Genomic DNA, 18,928 nt, shown 5'->3' with positions numbered 1-18,928 from the left:
ACTGTAGGCAATTGTAGTACAATGGTATTTGTTTATCTGAACATATCTAAACTAACAAAAGTACAGAAAAATGTGATATAACAGATTTTAAAAAGGTACACCTACGTCAGGCATCTATCCTGAATGGAGCTTTCAGAACTGGAAGTTGCTCTGAGTGAGTCAATGAGTGAGTGGTGAGTAAAAGGGAAGGCGTAGGACATTACTGTACACTACTGTAGACTTTAAAAAGATGGTACACTTAGGCTATACTAAATATATTTTAAACAATTCTTTCTCCCATAATAAATTAACCTTAACTTACTGTAACTAGTTTACCTTATAAATGTTTAAATTTTTTTTTCCTTGGGGATTAACATTAGGCTCCTTGCTACTTATGCAAAGTTGTGCAGCCTGCTTGAATTTCTCCTCAGAAAATGGGTTTTTCTTTTCTATTGCATCATCAGGCTGCAAATTTCCCAAACTTTTATGCTCTGCTTCCCTTTTAAACATAAGTTCCAATTCCAAACCATCTCTCTCAAGTTCAAAGCTCCACAGACCTCTAGGGCAAGGGCAAAGTGCTGCCAGTCTCTTTGCTAAAGCATGACGAGTCACCTTTGTCCCACTTCCCCCAAAATTCCTCATTTCTATCTGAGACCACCTCAGCCTGGACTTTATTATCCATATCACTATCAGCATTTTGGTCAAAGCCATCCAATAAGTCTCTAGGAAGTTCCAAATTTTCCTACATCTTCCTGTCCTCTGAGCCCTCCAAAGTGTTCCAACCTCTGCCTGTTACCAATTCCAAAGTCACATTCACATTTTTTGGGTATCTTTACAGCAGCGCTCCACTACCCGGTACCAATTTACTGTGTTGGTTTGTTCTCACGCTGCTAATAAAGACATACCCGAGACTGGGTAATTTATAAAGGAAAGAGGTTTAATTGACTCACAGTTCAACATGGCTGGGGAGGCCTCAGGAAACTTACAATCATGGCAGACTATGTGTATTCAGTAGATTATATTGGTTTTCTGAATTTAATTTGAGGTTAATAGAGGTCTTTTCCCTGGTGCTCTGTTGTTATCAAAACTGAAGGGAAATATAACAATATAATAAATAAATATAATGATATTTAATTCTAATTAATACGTAATTCTACATTCTGAAAACAATTCTAAGCATAATAAAAACACATTCTAACTATAATATGGTTAGTTCTAGCCATTAAAAGTACATTCAATCTTAAGAAAATATTTGTGAGAGTTATAAAACGGTGAGGTATGAAGGAAGCTCTATGGAGTTTCTTTAACTGCCCTGACTTGACCTGACAGAGTAATATCCTGATGGGATTAGAATCAAGACAATAACCAGAAAAGAGGGAAATGCTGGTGGTGGGAATAACAAGCAACAACTACTTTTCTTGGAGTTCTCATAACATTTTTTCTTTTTTTTTTTTTTTGAGACGAAGTCTTGCTCTGTCGCCCAGGCTGGAGTACAGTGGCACAATCTCTGCTCACTGCAACCTCTGCCTCCTGGGTTCAAGCGGTTCTCCTGCCTCAGCCTCCTGAGTAGCTGTGATTATAGGCGCGCACCACCATACCTGGCTAATTTTTGAATTTTAAGTAGAGACGAGGTTTTTGCCGTGTTGCCCAGGCTGGTGACGAACTCCTGAGCTCAGGCAATCTGCCCACCTTGGGCCTCCCAAAGTGCTGGGATTACAGGCATGAGCCAGCACTCCTGGCCATTCTCATAGCATTTTGAACATATTTCTGTTTTGTATTCCTATTATTTTTTGTATAGGTGTTTAAGCCTGTTAACATTTATCCTCTTTCTGGCTCCTCCCTTGACCTTATTTGTAAACTTTTTAGGGCAAGAATCTGGTTTACGCATCTTAGAAGTGTCATTGACTAGCCTAGCCTCTAACACTTTGGTTGATTGATAGATGAAAGGACGGATTTATGGATGGATAGATGGCAGTTTACTGCAGAGAAAAGTATTCTAACTCTTTTTGGACAGTAGCATTCTCCTATGCATCTCTGGGCTGCTTTAAAGAGCAGAGTAAGATTGTGATCACAGATTCATTTTCACTTTTGTTAATAAGTATTAAGCTTTTGAAATGAAGAAAATGTTCATTGGATGAAGAATACAGGAGTATATAGCACCTCATATTAATATTATGTGTAGACCAATTAGGTTGTCTTATTTTGGATTATCTCAAGACCTACCTTAACTTAGCTATAAGCAGACCAACTGAATTCATGGAGTCTAACAATTTATTTTTTTTCAGAAGTAAACATACTCACTAAATGTTTATCATTTCCAAACACTTTGGCTCATTTTGGTTTGGGTAGAGGCTGACCAGAATTTTTGCATTGTTCTTATTCTGTTGTTTCTTGTCCTGTTATTTAAGCACCTGATTGCTTTTTAAAAATACGTACAAGAAGAGGTAAGACACAACAGTCAAGAGGTGGAAGCAACCCAAATGTCCATCAGTGAATGAATAGACAAACAAATTAGGTATATACATACAATAGAATATTTTTCAGCCATACAAAGGAAGGAAATGGATGAGCCTTGGGATGTTATGCTCAGTGAAATAAACCAGTCAAAAAAGACACATACTGTGTGATTCCACTTATATGAGGTACCTAAAATCATAAAATTCATAGAAACAGAATAGTGGTTATGAGGAGCTGGGAGGAGGGAGAAAGAGGAAGTTGCTTAATGGGTGTAGAGTTTCACTTTTGCCAGATGAAAAGGTTCTGGAGATCTGTTTCACCACTATGTGAATGTACCTTATGCTGCTAATTGTATAGTTAAAAATGGTTAAAATGTTAAAGTTTATGTTATGTTTTTTGTTGTTGTTGTTTTTGTTTGTTTGTTTGTTTTTGAGATAGAGTCTCGCTCTGTCACACAGGCTGGAGTGCAGTGGTGCAATCTCGGCTCACTGCAACCTCCGCCTTCTGGGTTCAAGTGATTCTCCTCCCTCAGCCTCCCGAGTAGCTGGGATTACAGGTGCCTGCCACCACGCCCGGCTAATTTTTGTACTTTTAGTAGAGACGGGGTTTCACCATGTTGGCCAGGCTGGTCTCGAACTCTTGACCTCAGGTGGTCTGCCCGCCTCGGTTTCCCAAAGTGCTGGGATTACAGGCTGAGCCACCACGCCCAGCTGAGAGGGAAGTTTCTTCTTGGGGTAATGAAAATGTTCTAAAATTGATTGTGATGATGGATGTACTAGTCTCAATATACTAAAAGCATTGAATTGTACACTCTAAATGGGTGAGTTGTATAAGATGTTAATTGTATCTCAGTGATGCTGTAAAATATTTATTTACAAAGGCAAAGAGCTGAAATTCAAATTAGTCAAGTTTGCTACTATTTATTTATTTATTTATTTGAGACAGAGTCTCACTCTGTTGCCCATGCTGGAGTGCAGTGGCACGATCTCGACTCACTGCAACCTCTGCCTCCCAGGTTTAAGCGATTCTCCTTCCTCAGCCTCCTGAGTAGCTGGGATTACAGATGTGCGTCAACACACCCAGCTAATTTTTGTGTTTTTAGTAGAGACGGGGTTTCACCACGTTGGCCAGGCTGGTCTTGAACTCCCGACCTCAAGGGATCCACCCACCTCGGCCTCCCAAAGTGCTGGGATTACAGGCGTGAGCCACTGTACCGGGCCTCAAGTTTGCTACTTAAAGAAGCTTTTCTGTGGTATTCAGTGGACTAAGGTTTAGAATGAACTACATGTACCTATACGTAGTACAGAACAAAATAAGAATAATATGATCTTCTTTCTTGGTACATTTTCAGTTTTAACTAAGATATATGAGGATCTGGCAAGTTTAGGCCTTACTGCTGTCAAATAGCATGAAGCTGGGCATGGAGTGAAGTTTCAAACTACTATTAAAATAACATTGAGATACTGAGCTGTTTTCTCTCTGTTTTGATAGCCGCCATTATGCAACCCCACTGAGACTTGCAAATGGATCAATACTATAGCAATGAAGGAGGCAAGTTTTTCTTTATTTTTAGTAACATTACAGGCTGAGCTCTCGGTGAAGAACATGTGTTTCTTGGTATTTATTCCCCTGACAGGCCTTGCCAATGTTTCTTTAGCCCATTTGGAAGCATTCTGGTTGTTCCATCTCAACGGCTGTTTATATAAAAGATTGCTGGTTTGGCCTATAACTTCCTGATTTGGGGAATATTACCATTAGAGAGGAAAGGTGTCATATATGCTATTTATTCTAATACAAATGATAAGAACAATGGGTTATTCTTTACACTATGTTTTACACTGTAGCCTAGGAGCATGTTGCCCATATATGTACAAAGAGGAAAGTAACTTTTTAAATAAGTTGAAAAGGAACTATGAAAGTATTAATAAGTTCAACTTCTAAGAGTATGCAAATTTTAGTTCCCTCTAAGTCATGCATAGTACTAGGCTCTGTTGGAAATATAAGATGAGTTGGAGAGACTCCCTGCCCTTAAGATACAAGGCAATGGAGATAAATACCCTCACAACAAATTATGATATATAAGAGACTCTAATAAATGCTGTGATCGAAGGTTAAACAAATTCTTTGAGAATAAGAAAGAAGTAATTGATTTTGATGGGAGAGAGGAACAGAACTTTAATTGAACATTGGAAGATGGGTAGGATTTAGTAAGTAAAGAAGGAAAAACTCAGCATCATGAGTTCTGAGGTTGAAAATGTATTGTTATGTCTTGGACCCCAAAGTGCAGGGGAGAAAATAATGAAAAATAAAACTAAAAGTTACTTGAGTCATTCAAACTGCTAAAAGTTTGATCCTAATCACCTTTGGTAAACATAAAATTTATAAGTAATCTGAACACTGAGACTTATATTCTCTTTTAACCATTAATTTGAAAAGTTTCTATAAGCAAGATCCTGAGTATATTTAAAGGAAAAATGATATTTTCCCTCCTGCTTTAAAATGAGAAGTTGTCCTGAAGTTGAGTTTCTAAAAATGTTTTTAATTTTGCCAGAGTTCATAGAACTCATCCACACAACCACCTGCTCATTTATTCAATAACTGGAGTTCTAAAGTCATCAGAAGTCTGCCACTCGCCCCATCCCATCATCTGCTTCTTCAGAAAAGTAGAATTAAAGAAATGGAGGGGATCTGATATATCATCTAGGACAAAACCCAGATTTTCAAAATGGGAAGGTTTCCAGAGAGGTCAGGTGTCCAGGGTGACACATATAATAAACAGCAGCAGCCCAGGGGCACGGTTGTTCTGGCCCTTAAGCCCATTGCTCCTCCCAGCCTACAGCATAACAGAGGACCCAGCAACCGGGTTTACACCTTCGTACCTGAGCCCCACCTCCCTTTACATGTCTTCTCTTGTAATATTTTAGTTGCTCTATCTAATGCAGGTTCTCTGAAACTTCACAGATGCCCTGACTGCCTATGGGTCTTGTGGTTTAATAACAGCTGTTGGCCATAACAGAATTGATAACTCTTCCAGGTTGGCCACCATTGAGTTATTGACCCGTCACTGTTAATTTAATGTGCTGCTTTAACATCAGCCACATCCTTGTATAAAAATGGGAATTATAGAAAAATTCACCCGTATTTTAAGTTAGACCACTCTTCTTCATCTGGAATAAATCAGCTCCTTTCTGTGACTATTTCAGATAAATAGTATACATCTATCTTCAAGATGCTAACACTGTCACTCTTTTTTCTGGTAGTGGATTAAAACAAGCCCATCCAGCTCTTTACACTTCAGTATTCTTCTTACTTCTATACTATTGATGGCTTTTCTGTAAGACACATAGGAGTTACTCTTTGTTGTAATATACAAGTGTTTTGAGAACTAAAAATGATAGTAATTATATCCCAATTATCATGTGCTTCTATATATCAATTAATAGTGATCTGATTTTTAGCTGGGCATGGTGGCACAATTAAATATCAATTAAATATATCAATTAAATTTGATCCAATTTTTAGCTGGGTACAGCCGTGCACACCTATAGTCCCAGCTACTCAGGAGGCTGAGGCAGGAGGATTGCCTGAGCCTAGGAGTTCAAGGTGGCAGTGTGCAATGATCACCACTCCAGCCTGGGCAACATAACAAGACCTTGTCTCTTAAAAAAAAAAAAAAAGCCTGATTTTTATCATTGCAAATTTAACAGTAATTATCCTTAAGAATAATAATTACTTCCTACTTTTTTACTAATTTTGTTGAGACTGTGTGTCTAAAATAGATTGAAACATATCTAGTTATCCAGTATAAAACTTTTAAAATTACTTATCCACCCAAATGATTGGTAACTTGATTTCAAACCTAAGGGTATTTGAAAATATCTCAGAAATTAATGTCAATTTTTCCAACGTATCCAAAATATTGATTACTATGTAGACATGGTTGGGTAATTGTTGATGTAGTACTTGAGAGCTTTCACTTATGACGTTTTATGTTCTGTAGTGCTTTTGAGAAGCACTCATGAGTTGGATTAACAAGTGGAACTGTTTATAAACTCTGTAATGTGAGGGGAAAGTGGAAGCTGACATACATAATATAAATTGAGTTCCTGGAAACACCAATGTCAATAATTCTTGAGAAGGGGAAGATTGCCAAGGGTGGGGCCAGGTACAAAAACAGTTCTGGAAATTTTAGTTTCCATTGCCTCACCTCAATTCTAAGAAACATTAGGAACTTTATAATTGAATGTTATCTTTTGAAAAAATCTTCCAGCTTTTTGTTTATACTGAATTTTCATTTATAACATATTAAGGAATATAGGACCATTAAAATAGATTCAGAGACAGGAGAGTACAAATTTGGAAACTTTTGCATCTTTTAAAATGGTTGTTAAACCTGGCCTCAAGTGATTGCTTTCAATAATAGATTTTTTTTTCTTTTTCTGGCAAGGAACTACATAAGGGAGAATGTTCCAGTGTGTCAGCATTTTTTTAATTGCAAATCAATTAAGGACATAGTATCTGCATGGAATGTATGTGGACAAGATGGAGCAATTTGATCAGGTGATAATGCAATTAGGTGTATTCGGGCTTGGGTGAACAATCGTTGTAAGGGTATTGCTTAATCAAATGATGCCAATACCAAAAGGGGTTACAAATTAAGTATCTTATTGCTCTTTATTTACTTATTAGGCTTTTTTTATTAATGACTTAGATTAAGACATAGAAGGCTTATACACATAAACGTCATCATTGAAACAAAGGTGAGGATAACTAATATGTTGAATAGCAAGGCTAGAAATAAAGGTGAAGAAAACTACAAAAATATTAGTTTTGTAAAAAAAGTTATTGTAGGTAGAAAGAATGTCTAGAAGCTTAGCAAATTGATACTTACAGTGAATAAATGTTTAGTCTTGAACTTTGATTCTCAAGAGAGATCAGGACTAGAAAGATCTAGTTTAATACCAGTTTGCAAAGCATTATTTTAGAGAGTTAGTTTTCCTGAAGTACAATCTACATGCTATAAAATGTATCTTTTTTAGTATATTGCTCTCAGACAGTCATAACCACTACCACAATTAAGATACAGCCATATAGCCCAGGCTGGCACGGTGACTCACACCTGTAATCCCAGCACTTTGGGAGGCCGAGGTGGTTGGATCATCTGAGGTCGGGAGTTCGAGACCAGCCTGGCCAACATGGTGAAACCCCGCCTCTACTAAAAATACAAAATTTAGCCAGGCGTGGTGGCATGTACCTGTAATCCCAGCTACTCAGGAAGCCGAGGCGGGAGAATTGCTTGAACCCGGGAGGCGGAGGTTGCAGTGAGCTGAGATCATGCCACTGCACTCCAGCCTGGGTGATAGAGTGAGACTCTGTCTCAAAAAAAAAAAAAGATACAGGCCATTTCCATCATTCCAAACAATTCCTTCATGCCCCTTTTAGTTGACTCCTCCTCTTACCCCAGCCACTGGTAACTTCTGACTGTTTTCTGACCCCATAGTTTTGCAAAGCTTCCTTCACGTAACTTTTTAAGAATTTGATCTTCATAAGATCTCTACAACATTAATATTATCAACAGTTCTATTTTACAATAGAAGAAACTAGTGTTTAAAGTTAAACAGCTTTCCAAAACCTACACTATATGAGTTGTGGAGCCAGAACCTGAGCCCCCATTTTCTAACCCAGGATCCTGAATACATCCCTTAACCCTTCCAGCTAGCCCCTTGTTCCAAGAGCTCTGCTCTTTTCTGCATTGTTCAGTTACCTCCAGGTTGATCTTATATTAGGAGCCAGTGTTTAACATTCATAGTAATGTACTGGAGGGACAAGAGCAGTGTTTCTCAATCTTTTTTGCATTATTGTTCTTCTAAAGAGCGTTTTTAGACTTTTTTCCCTAATCATTCCTTGCCCCCATTAAATTTTAACACCGTTAATATAGTGTATATCTGTATGTATAATGTATGTCTGTACTTAATAGATAACCCGTCTTTGTAATTTCAGCCTCTGAGGACCAGCCTCTCAAGGCCTGAGAATATCTATCTATGACTTTCAACTTTACTCATCAAAACACAAAATTGTAACAAATTTACTGTAAAGATCTCAGTTAGCTGCATTTGGGATTCTATTATCAGGCAGTACTTCATTCTATTATAGAATAAGCGTCCTAGGAAATCAAGCAGAGGAAGTTGGCTTCATAGGCAAAAAAAAAAGGACTAAAGAAAGCAGAAACAAAGAAAAAGTGGATTGGTAGTTTCAAAGTTACTTTCCTTGTATGGCAGGAACAGGTAGCCAAAAATATAGGTTAAAGATCAGAACAGACAGAAATTTATTATTATGCCAATTGAAACTGGCCTGTTTCGGAAATTAGGCTATCTCTCTCTCCTGATTTTTCTGGCAGTCCGGTAACAACTTGGTTTTAGTTATGTGGAACTTTAGCATGGGCGACTTCATTTCTGTGTGTTTTTTGTTGTTGTTGTTTTGAGACAGTTTCTCTCTGTCACCCAAGTTAGAATGCAGTGGCGCGATCATAGCTCACTGCAGTCTGCCTGCCAGGTTCAACACATTCTCATGCTTTAGCCTCCCAAGTAGCTGGGACTACAGGTGCACACTACCACGCCCGACTAAGTTTTTATATTTTTTGGTAGAGACAGGGTTTTACCATGTTGGCCAGCCTGGTCTTGAACTCTTGGCCTCAAGTGATCTGCCCACCTCAGCCTCTCAAAGTGCTGGGATTACAGGCATGAGCCACTGCTCCCAGTTGGGACTTCATTTTTGAAGTTTAGGCTGGTCATCTTGGGCCTCGTGCAGGTGCTTAGTCCAAAACAATGGCCTCCTATAATTTTTATTTAATAATTTTCCCCTTTTGGTCAGGCCAAAGCCTGACCTATTGACCTAGGTCAATAGTGCTGCTTTCAGTTGTGCTGGGTTGCAGTTTCAACATGTCCTTCATAGGTTATGGTGTATATATGATCTTGCATTTCTTTGAGTTTTTGTCATTCCAGCTGAAAAGACTGCATTTGACATTTGAAGGGTGGCTTTATGCAAGCACTTGGAAGTTTGTAAGGGGACACAGTGTACTAGGGAGACTGGTACTATTACTTTCAGGAGGATAATAACTGATAATAACTCTGGCTCCTTAGCCAGAGTCCTTATAAACCAAACCAACTAAAATCAAATAAATAAAAAAAAAGCTGAGCCAGACAAGGAATTTACCTGTTTTAACCAAGTAGCCCGTTTGTTAATGTTTTGTAACTGAATCTCTCCAATACCCAGCATATTTATCTATATGCAGCAAGAAGTGTCAGCAACTGCACAGATTCCTTATTTTCTTTTCTGTTACTACATTTTCAAATAAGTAGATAGTAATTCTATCATCTGGCATCCCAGGAATGTGTTAAATTAAAGCAGAGGGTGCTAATTCTATAAAAGAGACCATGTTGGGAATGAAGTTTTTGGTGTCACCAAAAAAAAAAAAAAAAAAAAAAGAACGCGGGAGCAAATGATCTCTCAGCAAGGCCAGCTTTACTTTCTGCAGAAAGGGTGCTACTTAATAGCTATCCAGCCACAAGAGCACACCGGACAGAGGAGACTGAGTTATTTATAACCTGATGCATCTGCCCTACTGCTGTGTCCAGTTTCCATTGGCTGGAATAGGACCTCGCATTTTACACTTTACCTGATTGGCTATTAGCTTAAAACATTGTTAATTAGGTAAGGGGAATAGAACAAAGAAAGAAAAGGAAGTTGCCCAGGGATAGTTAAGGAAGCATCTCCAAATAAGGTATGGCATGTACTATGGGCTGGGGCTTGTCTAGTTCTATCCAGGCATGCCAGAGCAAGCTAGAACAGCTGATTTGGATTACATATATATATATATATATATATATATATATATACACACACACACACACACACACACACAGATACTATGTGTGTATAAATATACTATGCATATAATATATACTATATATATATAGTCTGTGTATATACACACATAGAATACATAGTATATATGTATTCTATGTGTATATATATATACACACACACACATAGAATATGTAGTATATATATATATAATATATATATACTTATATATATATATACAACCACATAGTATATATATATATACTAATAGTGGTTGCAATCTTATAGTAAGAAAATGTGACTTTTTATAATGTTTGAAGAAGAACTTCCCCATTTCTCACAGACCACTAGTACAATTTGAACAAACAGTCGCATTAGGGATGTTGCTAAAGCTTCCCGCTAGGTGCACTGTAGGATCTCTTAGATTGTATAAATATTTGGGTTTGATATGAGAGATCCAACCTTGTCAAGTGACCCCCAAAAACTACTGATTGGGGAATTCTAACTACAGCCTTACCCTTCCAAGAGAAAGAAGAAGGCCTACATATGGAAAAATTAAGAGGGGCAAGAGTCTTACTACGATAGGGAGTCTCATTCCATGCATCTTGGGAAAAACTCCACAGCATGAAGTTGGCAACTTCTCGTCCTGATTTGCAGTTGAATGTCTCTGGTTGTGCTAGCAGGCATTATATTCAACTCCGCATGTAGTTCACACATCAGGCATGAGACTTGTCCTTTGAAATTTATGTTGAGTTGTCCAGTTTAGCAGTTTTTGTTCTTAGTTGTAGCCAGATTTTGGAGGAAACTGGAAGAATTTAGGATCCAGTTCAGTCTACAGTTGATAATAAAAACTCAAAAACAATGAACAGAGCTACAATCTAATTACAGGTATAATGTAGTTTTCTTTTGAAACATAATGTTTCTCTCTACAGTCACTCCCATTTCTACCAAAGATAATCAGGGTAAGACTAATTTGTTTGCAAAATAAGTTTAGTCTCATAAAAATTGCCCTGAGGTATTTACATAAGTGCAGCAAGAATAACCCACAGAGGTTCCTTTTACATTTGCTTTAGTAGAATTTTGACAAGGGATCTCAGATTGAACTTTTTTTTTTTTTTTGAGACAGAGTTTCGCTCTTGTTGCCGAGGCTGGAGTGCAGTGGCATGATCTCGGCTCACTGCAACCTCTGCCTTCTGGGTTCAAGCAGTTGTTCTGCCTCAGCCTCTCGAGTAGCTGGGACTATAGGCACCCACCACCATGCCCAGCTAATTTTTTGTATTTTTAGTAGAGACAGGGTTTCACCATGTTGGCCAGGTGGGTCTCGAACTCCTGACCTCAGGTGATCTACCTGCCTCGGCCTCCCAAAGTGCTGGGATTACAGGCGTGAGCCACCATGCCCTGCCAGATTGGACTTTTAAAAGCATCTTAACTCTAGGAAGTCAAACCAATGCAGACATCGGACTTTGCCTGCGGCATCTAATATCTTGAGGTTCCTGGGCCTGCCAGGAAGTGGCAACTTTTTACTCACTGGCTATAAGGCAGGGAACCCTTGAAGCTAGGCAGTCTATCCACATTTTCAAATAGGATATTCCAGTCAAACCCTTGGTAATAGAACCAATGTTTCCAGTTACATGATGTTATAAAGAGGGCAAATTCTTTTTTTTAAAAGAGGAACTAGGGTCTTGCTCTGTCACCCAGGCTGCAGTGTAGTGGTATGATCATAGCTTGCTGCACCTTCAAACTTCTAAGCTCAAGAGGTCCTCCCACTTCAGCCTCCTGGGTAGCTGGAACCATAGGCGCATGCCATCATGCCCAGCTAATTTTTAAAATGAGGGTCTCACTATGTCGCCCAGAATGATCTCAAACTCCTGGCCTCAAGTCCACCTCCCACACAGTCTTCAAAGTAGTTGAGATTGCACATGTGAGCCACCATGCCCAGCAAGAGCAAATTCTTATTGAACTTATGCAAATAATCATAGTGCTGTAAAAATAAAACATAGTATAGTTTTTGAATTTCAGAGGTGTCAGGTAGGGAGGAGAAACAAATGTTTCCATTTTTGTTTACAGAAGTATCCTTTACCAAATTGCTGTAAACTATGGATAGTTTAAAAGAGAGAGAAAAAAAATGTGTCCTTCAGTCTGAAAAACAAAGCATTAAAAGAACCAGCAATATTTCAAATTTTTTAAAAGCTTTAAAAATTCATAATTCTTCTTCATCAGTTCATTTAGTCTCATGTAATTAATTCTTGCTCTATTTGAGCTTAGTTAGTAGTTTCACAAACTCATCAGTTTCTTCATTAGAGTTCTAGAAATTCTCACGCAGTCCAGTGTTATCTCAAGGTTAGCAGAAACCTGAACTTGCCAGAGTTCCTCCCATCTTTTCTGTGAACCGTCTTGAAGACACATGCTTTAAGATCACAGTTGTTTACAGAAAGCTTTTAGAAAGGCATCAGAATAAAGCAATTAACTGTGGACAAGATTTAAAATGGCCATGTTAGAACCATGATGAGAATCCTTTATAATAATGATATAATTGACAAGCAAGTTTGGTTATTCCTGTGGTGTACAACATTTTAACAGAAAGTTATGACTGATAGCACAACAGATTTATAGAAATCTCATATAGTTTTTGGAGCACATATCAATAACATATCCATACAATTGGAACTCAAAGATTAAACATCATTTCTTACTTGACAGTGTTTCCACATATAATTTAACATCTCAGATAAGCCTAATTGATTTAATATTTCTCTTTGAGACTTTAAGGAGCCCTTCTGGAATGTTCAAAAGTTAGTTTGTGATCAAAATGACTTAATTTTGAATTCAATTTTGGGAAGTTTGTCAAAAATAAAAGTTCAAAACGCTTATCAATAATAGGATCACAAATCACTGTGAATAATAGTCATTCATTTAACCAAAGTCATAATTGTAAGATTTTCAAAAGCAGTTATATCATTGTAGAAAACCTTAACTCTTTTAGTACAGACGAGATTAAGTTTTCCTAAGTAATCAATAACCTAAGAAGGAAAATATGAGGCACAGGGATTATTTTGATAAGACTCAGATTATTTGTTTCCTAGGCCAGTTACCTAGAAGTTCTCACCATTTTTTACTAAGAGCAGATAAATACTAAAGAAAACCTTGTTTTAAAACAGGAAACCAAATACTAGTTTTGCATCAGTGTATTGTTGATATCAAAGCTCAATTTTTCACCTTGTAAGGAGACTATTTTTTTCAAAGAAAATAGGCAATTCGGAGAGTTAGTAGCCTACGAATATTCAGGCAAGGTAGGAAAGAAGGGAGCAGTAGGAGTCAGGTGGGCTTTACCGTCTTTGGTATGGGTGATATCTTGCATTGTTAGCTTTTTATTAGCCTTCACAATACATTTCTTTAAAAGCAATTTTAGAACCCTATTTTTTTTTTTTTACATTTCTATTTATTTATTTATTTTTTGAGATGGAGTCTTGCTCTGTTACCCTGGCTGGAGTGCAACGGCGTGATCTCGGCTCACTGCAACCTCTGCCTCCTGGGTTCAAGTGATCCTCGTCCCTCAGCCTCCCAAGTAGCTGGGATGACAGGCCTGCACCACCACACCCGGCTAATGTTTGTATTTTTAGTAGAGACGGGGTTTCACCATGTTGCCCAATCTGGTCTCGAACTCCTAACCTCAGGTGATCCGCCCACCTCAGCCTCCCAAAGTGCTGAGATTATAGGCATGAGCCACCATACCCAGCCTCTTTGACATTTCTAAATGTCAATTAGAATAACAATCCCATTCTCTCTGCCTAATTCAAGAGGCTTGGGATTCAAGTGCACCTCTTAGAAAACAGTTTTTTTCATCTAGGATATTTCATATAATGACCATTGTAATTCTGAATTATCTTTAGTAAGATTTTGCCACTTTTGTAATTCTTTGCAGCTTCTGTGGCCATAATTTTTATTCATGAGAAAGTCAGGTGTACCAGAAGGCAGAGTACTGACATCTTTAGAAATTAGGGATCTCATTTTTATGTTGGATCTTGGGTCTTAGAGCCAAGATGGCTTTGGCACTGAAATCTCAGCACACAAGAAAAGAAGAAATAAAGAGCCCCCCTGCAGTAATAACCACTTAGAGCAACTGACGGCAGTTACCTTAAAAACTGCATCTTTTTTTGCCAATGACTCTTCAGTCACTGCAAACCAAAGGTTATGTGCCCTGCCATAGCACAAACTACCTGTTGGTACCCCAAAAGCCAAAGAGATCAGAGTACTCAATTACAAAAGAGAGCAGAGCCCAGACCTGAGAGGAACTTACACAGGATTCTCAGGGCTCCAGGAGGAAGACAGGGGACCCACCCCCCACCACTTAAAGGGGAGGTTAGCAGCATCTTTTCTGTGTTCCTCAAGGAGTCTCAGAGACATCAGTAACCTTCATTCAGGTCCCTTCACTGGTCACCATATCTGTCAGAAGACAAAATTACAACAAATTTAGTTTAAAGATCTGAATTGGCTTTATTTGCAGTTCTAGAATCATGCAATACTTCATTCCATTAAGTAGAATAAGTGTCCCAATGAGTCAAACAAGGTTGGTTTTATAGACAGAAAAAGGCCTTAAGAAAGCAGAAGCAAAGAACAAAAAGTGGATCGGTCATTTTAAAGTTACTTTCCTTGTATGGTGGGAGCTGGGAGACACAACAATAGAAAAATAACTGTTTGGTTAACATTAGGTTATTTCAGGTTAAGGATTAAAACAGGAAACTTCGCTATTCATTCCAACTGAAGCTCCTGTTTGGGAAGTTGGATATTTTCTCTCTTTCCTGATTTTAGAAAGTCAGATAACAACTTAGTTTTGATTTGGTGATGTGGAATTTTAGCATGGGTGACTCCATTTCGATTTTTAATCTGGTTTGTTGTGCTTAGTCCAAAACAATGGTCTCCTATGATTTTTATGTAATAGCCCTCTAGATTCTTGGTTCTGCCCTCTAAGTCATGATTTATTTTTAATGAAACTACTCATGTTTGCAGCTGAGTAGTTTTATCAACCTGCTTCCTGCCAATAGAATTTGGGGGTGCCAACATCATCCTTTCATTTTGTATCCTCTCTGTCCCTTTGATTCCACGTTGGCAGTGTTTTTGCTGAAATAAAACTCTGTGAGTCTTCTGTGGATTTTATAGAGATTCACTTCATTATAAGAAAGGCATATCCACAGATCGTTTAAAAATAATCCCTTTTCCATCTCATGCTACAATGGCTGAGGGATGATGCTTTTCAGTTCCTAGAGGCCCTCTGATTTGATCGACAGGATCTGTGAGGCACACCCTTCATCACTTGAAAGGGACCTTTGCCTGACTGCATAAAACCAGCTTTTGATCTTTCTGAGGTTTTAGCAAAAGTCTATATAGTCACACCCTCAACTTTTTCTATAGAGCTTGCTTTCTTGACAGTGAATTTCTTAATTTTAGTGTCTTTTCTATTTGGAGAGTCTGAAAATTTTTAAAATCATGTCCCCTTTCATTTTTGTATAAGTTCTCCCAATGTCTTTCTTTCTCCTCTTGCATTTTACTGTAAGTGGTAAGAAGAAACTAGGTGGCACTTTCAAACCATTGCTTGCAAATAATGTTAACCGTATAGCTAAGGCTATTGCTTACAGGTTGATCTTCTCAAGTAACTATAGGATACAATTTCCCTAAGTTTTCTGCCACCATCACAAGGGTCTCCATTGCTCCAATTTCCAGTAACATATTCCTCATTTCCCTCTGAGCCCTCATCAGTGGTGTCCTTAAGGTCCAGGGGTCAGTTAAGAACTGGTTCAAGGCATTTTAGGCCTTCTCTATGATGCTGCCCAGTCTCCTTCCACTACCCAGTTCCCAAGCCACTTCCACATTTTAGATATTTGTTACAGCAGCATCCCCTTCCCAGGTACCAAACTCTGTATGGTAGTGTAACAAATTACCACACATTTAGTGGCTTAAAACAACAAACATTTGCTATCTCACAATTTCTAGGGGTCAGGAATCTGGGCACAACTTAACTGAATCATCTGCTCTTGATCTTACTGTGCCAAATTCACAGTATTAACTGGGTTGCGTTTTTATCTAAAGGCTCGAGTTTGGGGAATGATTTGCTTCCAAGCTCATTCAAGTTGTTGGCAGAGTTCATTTCTTTGCAGCTGCATGACTAAGGACCCTAGCATCTTACTGTGTTCTTATGGCTGTAGCCCCACTGAAGTCCCATAGTTCCCTGCCATGTGATCCTCTTACAGCCATCTCACAACTTGACTGCTTATATCTTTAAGGCCGATGGGAGAATCTCTCACTTCAGTTTTCTGAGTTTCATCCATTGTGACACAATCATGGGAGCGACATCCTATCACCTTTGCCAAATCATATTGATCAGAAGCAAGTCACAGGTTCTATCTACACCCAAGTGTAGGAGACCTTAGGGTGCGTATCCCAAGATAGTCTAGTAGGTTAAATAGTATCTCCTAAAGATATCATAATCCCTGGAATGCGTAAATGTTACCTTATTTGGAAAACAGAATCTTTGCAGATGTGATTAAGGTAGGGATCTTGAGATATAAGGATTATCCTGAATTTTTGAGGGATAGGGGAGTGGACATGAAATGCAATCACGTGTATCCTTATAAGAATGGGGTAGAGGGAGATTAAGCACATGTAGAGAAGGCCGTGTGATGGTGGAGCAGAGAGAGATTTGCAGATGCTGGCCCTGGTTAAAGATTGATGTGATGCACCTATAATCAAGCAATGCTGGCAGCCACCAGAAGCTAGGGGAGGCAAGGAACAGCTTCTCCCCTAGAGCTTTCACAGGGAGTATAGCCCAGCTGACACCTTGATTTTGCCCCAGTGATACTGATTTTGTTCTTTTGGCCTCCAGAACTGGAAGACAATACTTTCTGTTGTTTTAAGCCACTTAGTTTATGGTAATTTGTTACAACAGCCTCAGAAAATTAATACAGATAAGTAGTAAATGAGACCTAAGTGGTGCTTTTTAAATGTATTTCTCTGGTTATTCAGTGAAGCTAAGTATCTTTTCATAAGGTTATTAACTATTCTGCAACATTTCCAACTCATGTCTTTTGTCTCTTTTTCTTTTGGACTTACCTGTTGATTAGTAGGAGTTCTTTACATAGTGTAACTACTAATCTTTGTCAGTTATACATGTTACTGAAGAAGTTTACCAGTAAATTATCTTTTTACCTTGTTTATGGGATATTCTGTATTCAGATATATTTTCAACTATTTTTATTGTGAATAATTTTAAGTACATTCAAAAGAAGAGAGAATAGTGTAATAGACCTTCCATGCGCTCATCACTTAGCTCAACAATTATCATTATTTTTCCCCAGAAGTATTCATTTCTACCTTTAAGGTTTGTACTTTTTGTGCATTATCTAAGAAAGCCTTAAATAAAGATTGTGTTGCTATTATTTGTGTGGCTATTTCTGTTATGAAAACCCTCATTCTTTTTTTACTTTTATATAACTATTATGTGTAATAATTTTTAATATATTCAAAGTACTACTGGCCTCAGTGTTCATCTCTATCTTCTTCCTGAACAGCCTATATTTTTCTTATTCAGCCCAAGCTATTGATTCAGAACTTGGGAACTCTCCAATTGCCCCAACAATGTCATGCATGTTACCAAAGAGCTTGTTGAAAATCCCATGCATCCCTATAAGGCTAATTATTCAGGAGATTTCAAAATACAAGTCTGAGTCAGCTAGCAGGCACTGTTGTGTTTACTAAGTAATTCCTCTCTTTCCCTTTCTTGTTTCTAGTGTGCCACCTGGGCTTGAAGGCATGAAGGAACAGGACCTGTGCAACAAGATAATGGCTAAAATTCTAGAAAATTACAATACCCTGTTTGAAGTAGAGTATACAGAAAATGATCATCTGAGATGTGAAAACCTGGCTAGGCTTATCATAGTAAAAGTAAGCAACTTGGTTTTTAATTTTCAGTATTGCTATAATTTTGGACAGAAGATTTTATTTAATTCTTTCTCATAAAAATTCCATATGGATATAACCCTCAGATTATTATTCCTGTGTATAGTGAATCCTTCTTATGAAATCTATTATTCCAAATGCTTATTAAATTGAAATATAGCCTTCTAAAATTCAAGAATAATAGCAATTTTATGTTTTCTTGTTGCTATAAAGTCATCTCAAAAACACTTGCATGAGCCCAGTGCTCTGATCAACTGGCCGCACCACCTTTACTACAGAAGCCTGATGTTACAGCAGGAATAAGTGCATATGGCTGTGATCAGGAGTGCTAGGTTACTAACTAGATTGCAAATTCCTGAAGACAATATTACTGTGTCTTTTTGTCTCTTTTGTGTCTGGCACAATTTGAAGCCCAACCTCAGATTCTAAGTCCCATATATTAGTTTTTGGTAACAATCATCAGTAAAGGAGAATATTTTAAAAACCTATAAAGGAGTCCTTGACAATACTATCTAAATCTTTTTATACATTGATAATTTTATAATATACCCTGTATATATTAGGTAAATGCCTGTAGGTCTCCAAAGACCTAGAATTGAGAATCAGAGGGTAAACATCCAAACAAATCCCCTAGATGTGGGAAAATAAGGAAGTTATCTTATTTCGTCGTCATTTATAT

The 18,928-nt window shown here is 37.9% G+C and overlaps 1 protein-coding gene and 1 long non-coding RNA gene across 18 annotated transcripts in view; one reads left to right on the top strand and one right to left on the bottom strand.

Moving 5' to 3' along the window:
* The window catches only part of FAM13A (family with sequence similarity 13 member A), a 331,226-nt gene that overhangs the window by 100,864 nt on the left and 211,434 nt on the right, over window positions 1-18,928 (top strand). For 14 of the 16 annotated variants that reach the window (XM_047449481.1, XM_047449479.1, XM_011531516.2 and 11 more), the window contains one exon: window positions 18,081-18,234. The exons of 1 other annotated variant lie outside the window; for it this stretch is intronic. In XM_047449481.1, the coding sequence (XP_047305437.1) occupies window positions 18,081-18,234 (154 nt within the window). Of the gene's footprint in view, window positions 1-6,883; window positions 6,997-18,080; window positions 18,235-18,928 lie in introns of those variants that run through there. One more of the 16 variants, XM_006714057.4, reaches the window with a different exon arrangement.
* The window catches only part of LOC105377327 (uncharacterized), a 32,160-nt gene that overhangs the window by 3,331 nt on the left and 9,901 nt on the right, over window positions 1-18,928 (bottom strand). Inside the window, exons 2-3 of one of the 2 annotated variants that reach the window (XR_938977.3) lie at window positions 14,597-14,742; window positions 10,877-11,104 (exon numbers count right to left, since the gene is read on the bottom strand). This is a non-coding gene — a long non-coding RNA (uncharacterized LOC105377327). The remainder of the gene's footprint in view (window positions 1-10,876; window positions 11,105-14,596; window positions 14,743-18,928) is intronic. The other variant, XR_007058188.1, reaches the window with a different exon arrangement.

Source organism: Homo sapiens, chromosome 4, assembly GCF_000001405.40.
Source record: "Homo sapiens chromosome 4, GRCh38.p14 Primary Assembly".
NCBI lineage: Eukaryota > Metazoa > Chordata > Mammalia > Primates > Hominidae > Homo > Homo sapiens.
Note: the sequence above shows the minus strand (reverse complement) of the source record. Positions and strands in the feature narration are given on the sequence as shown.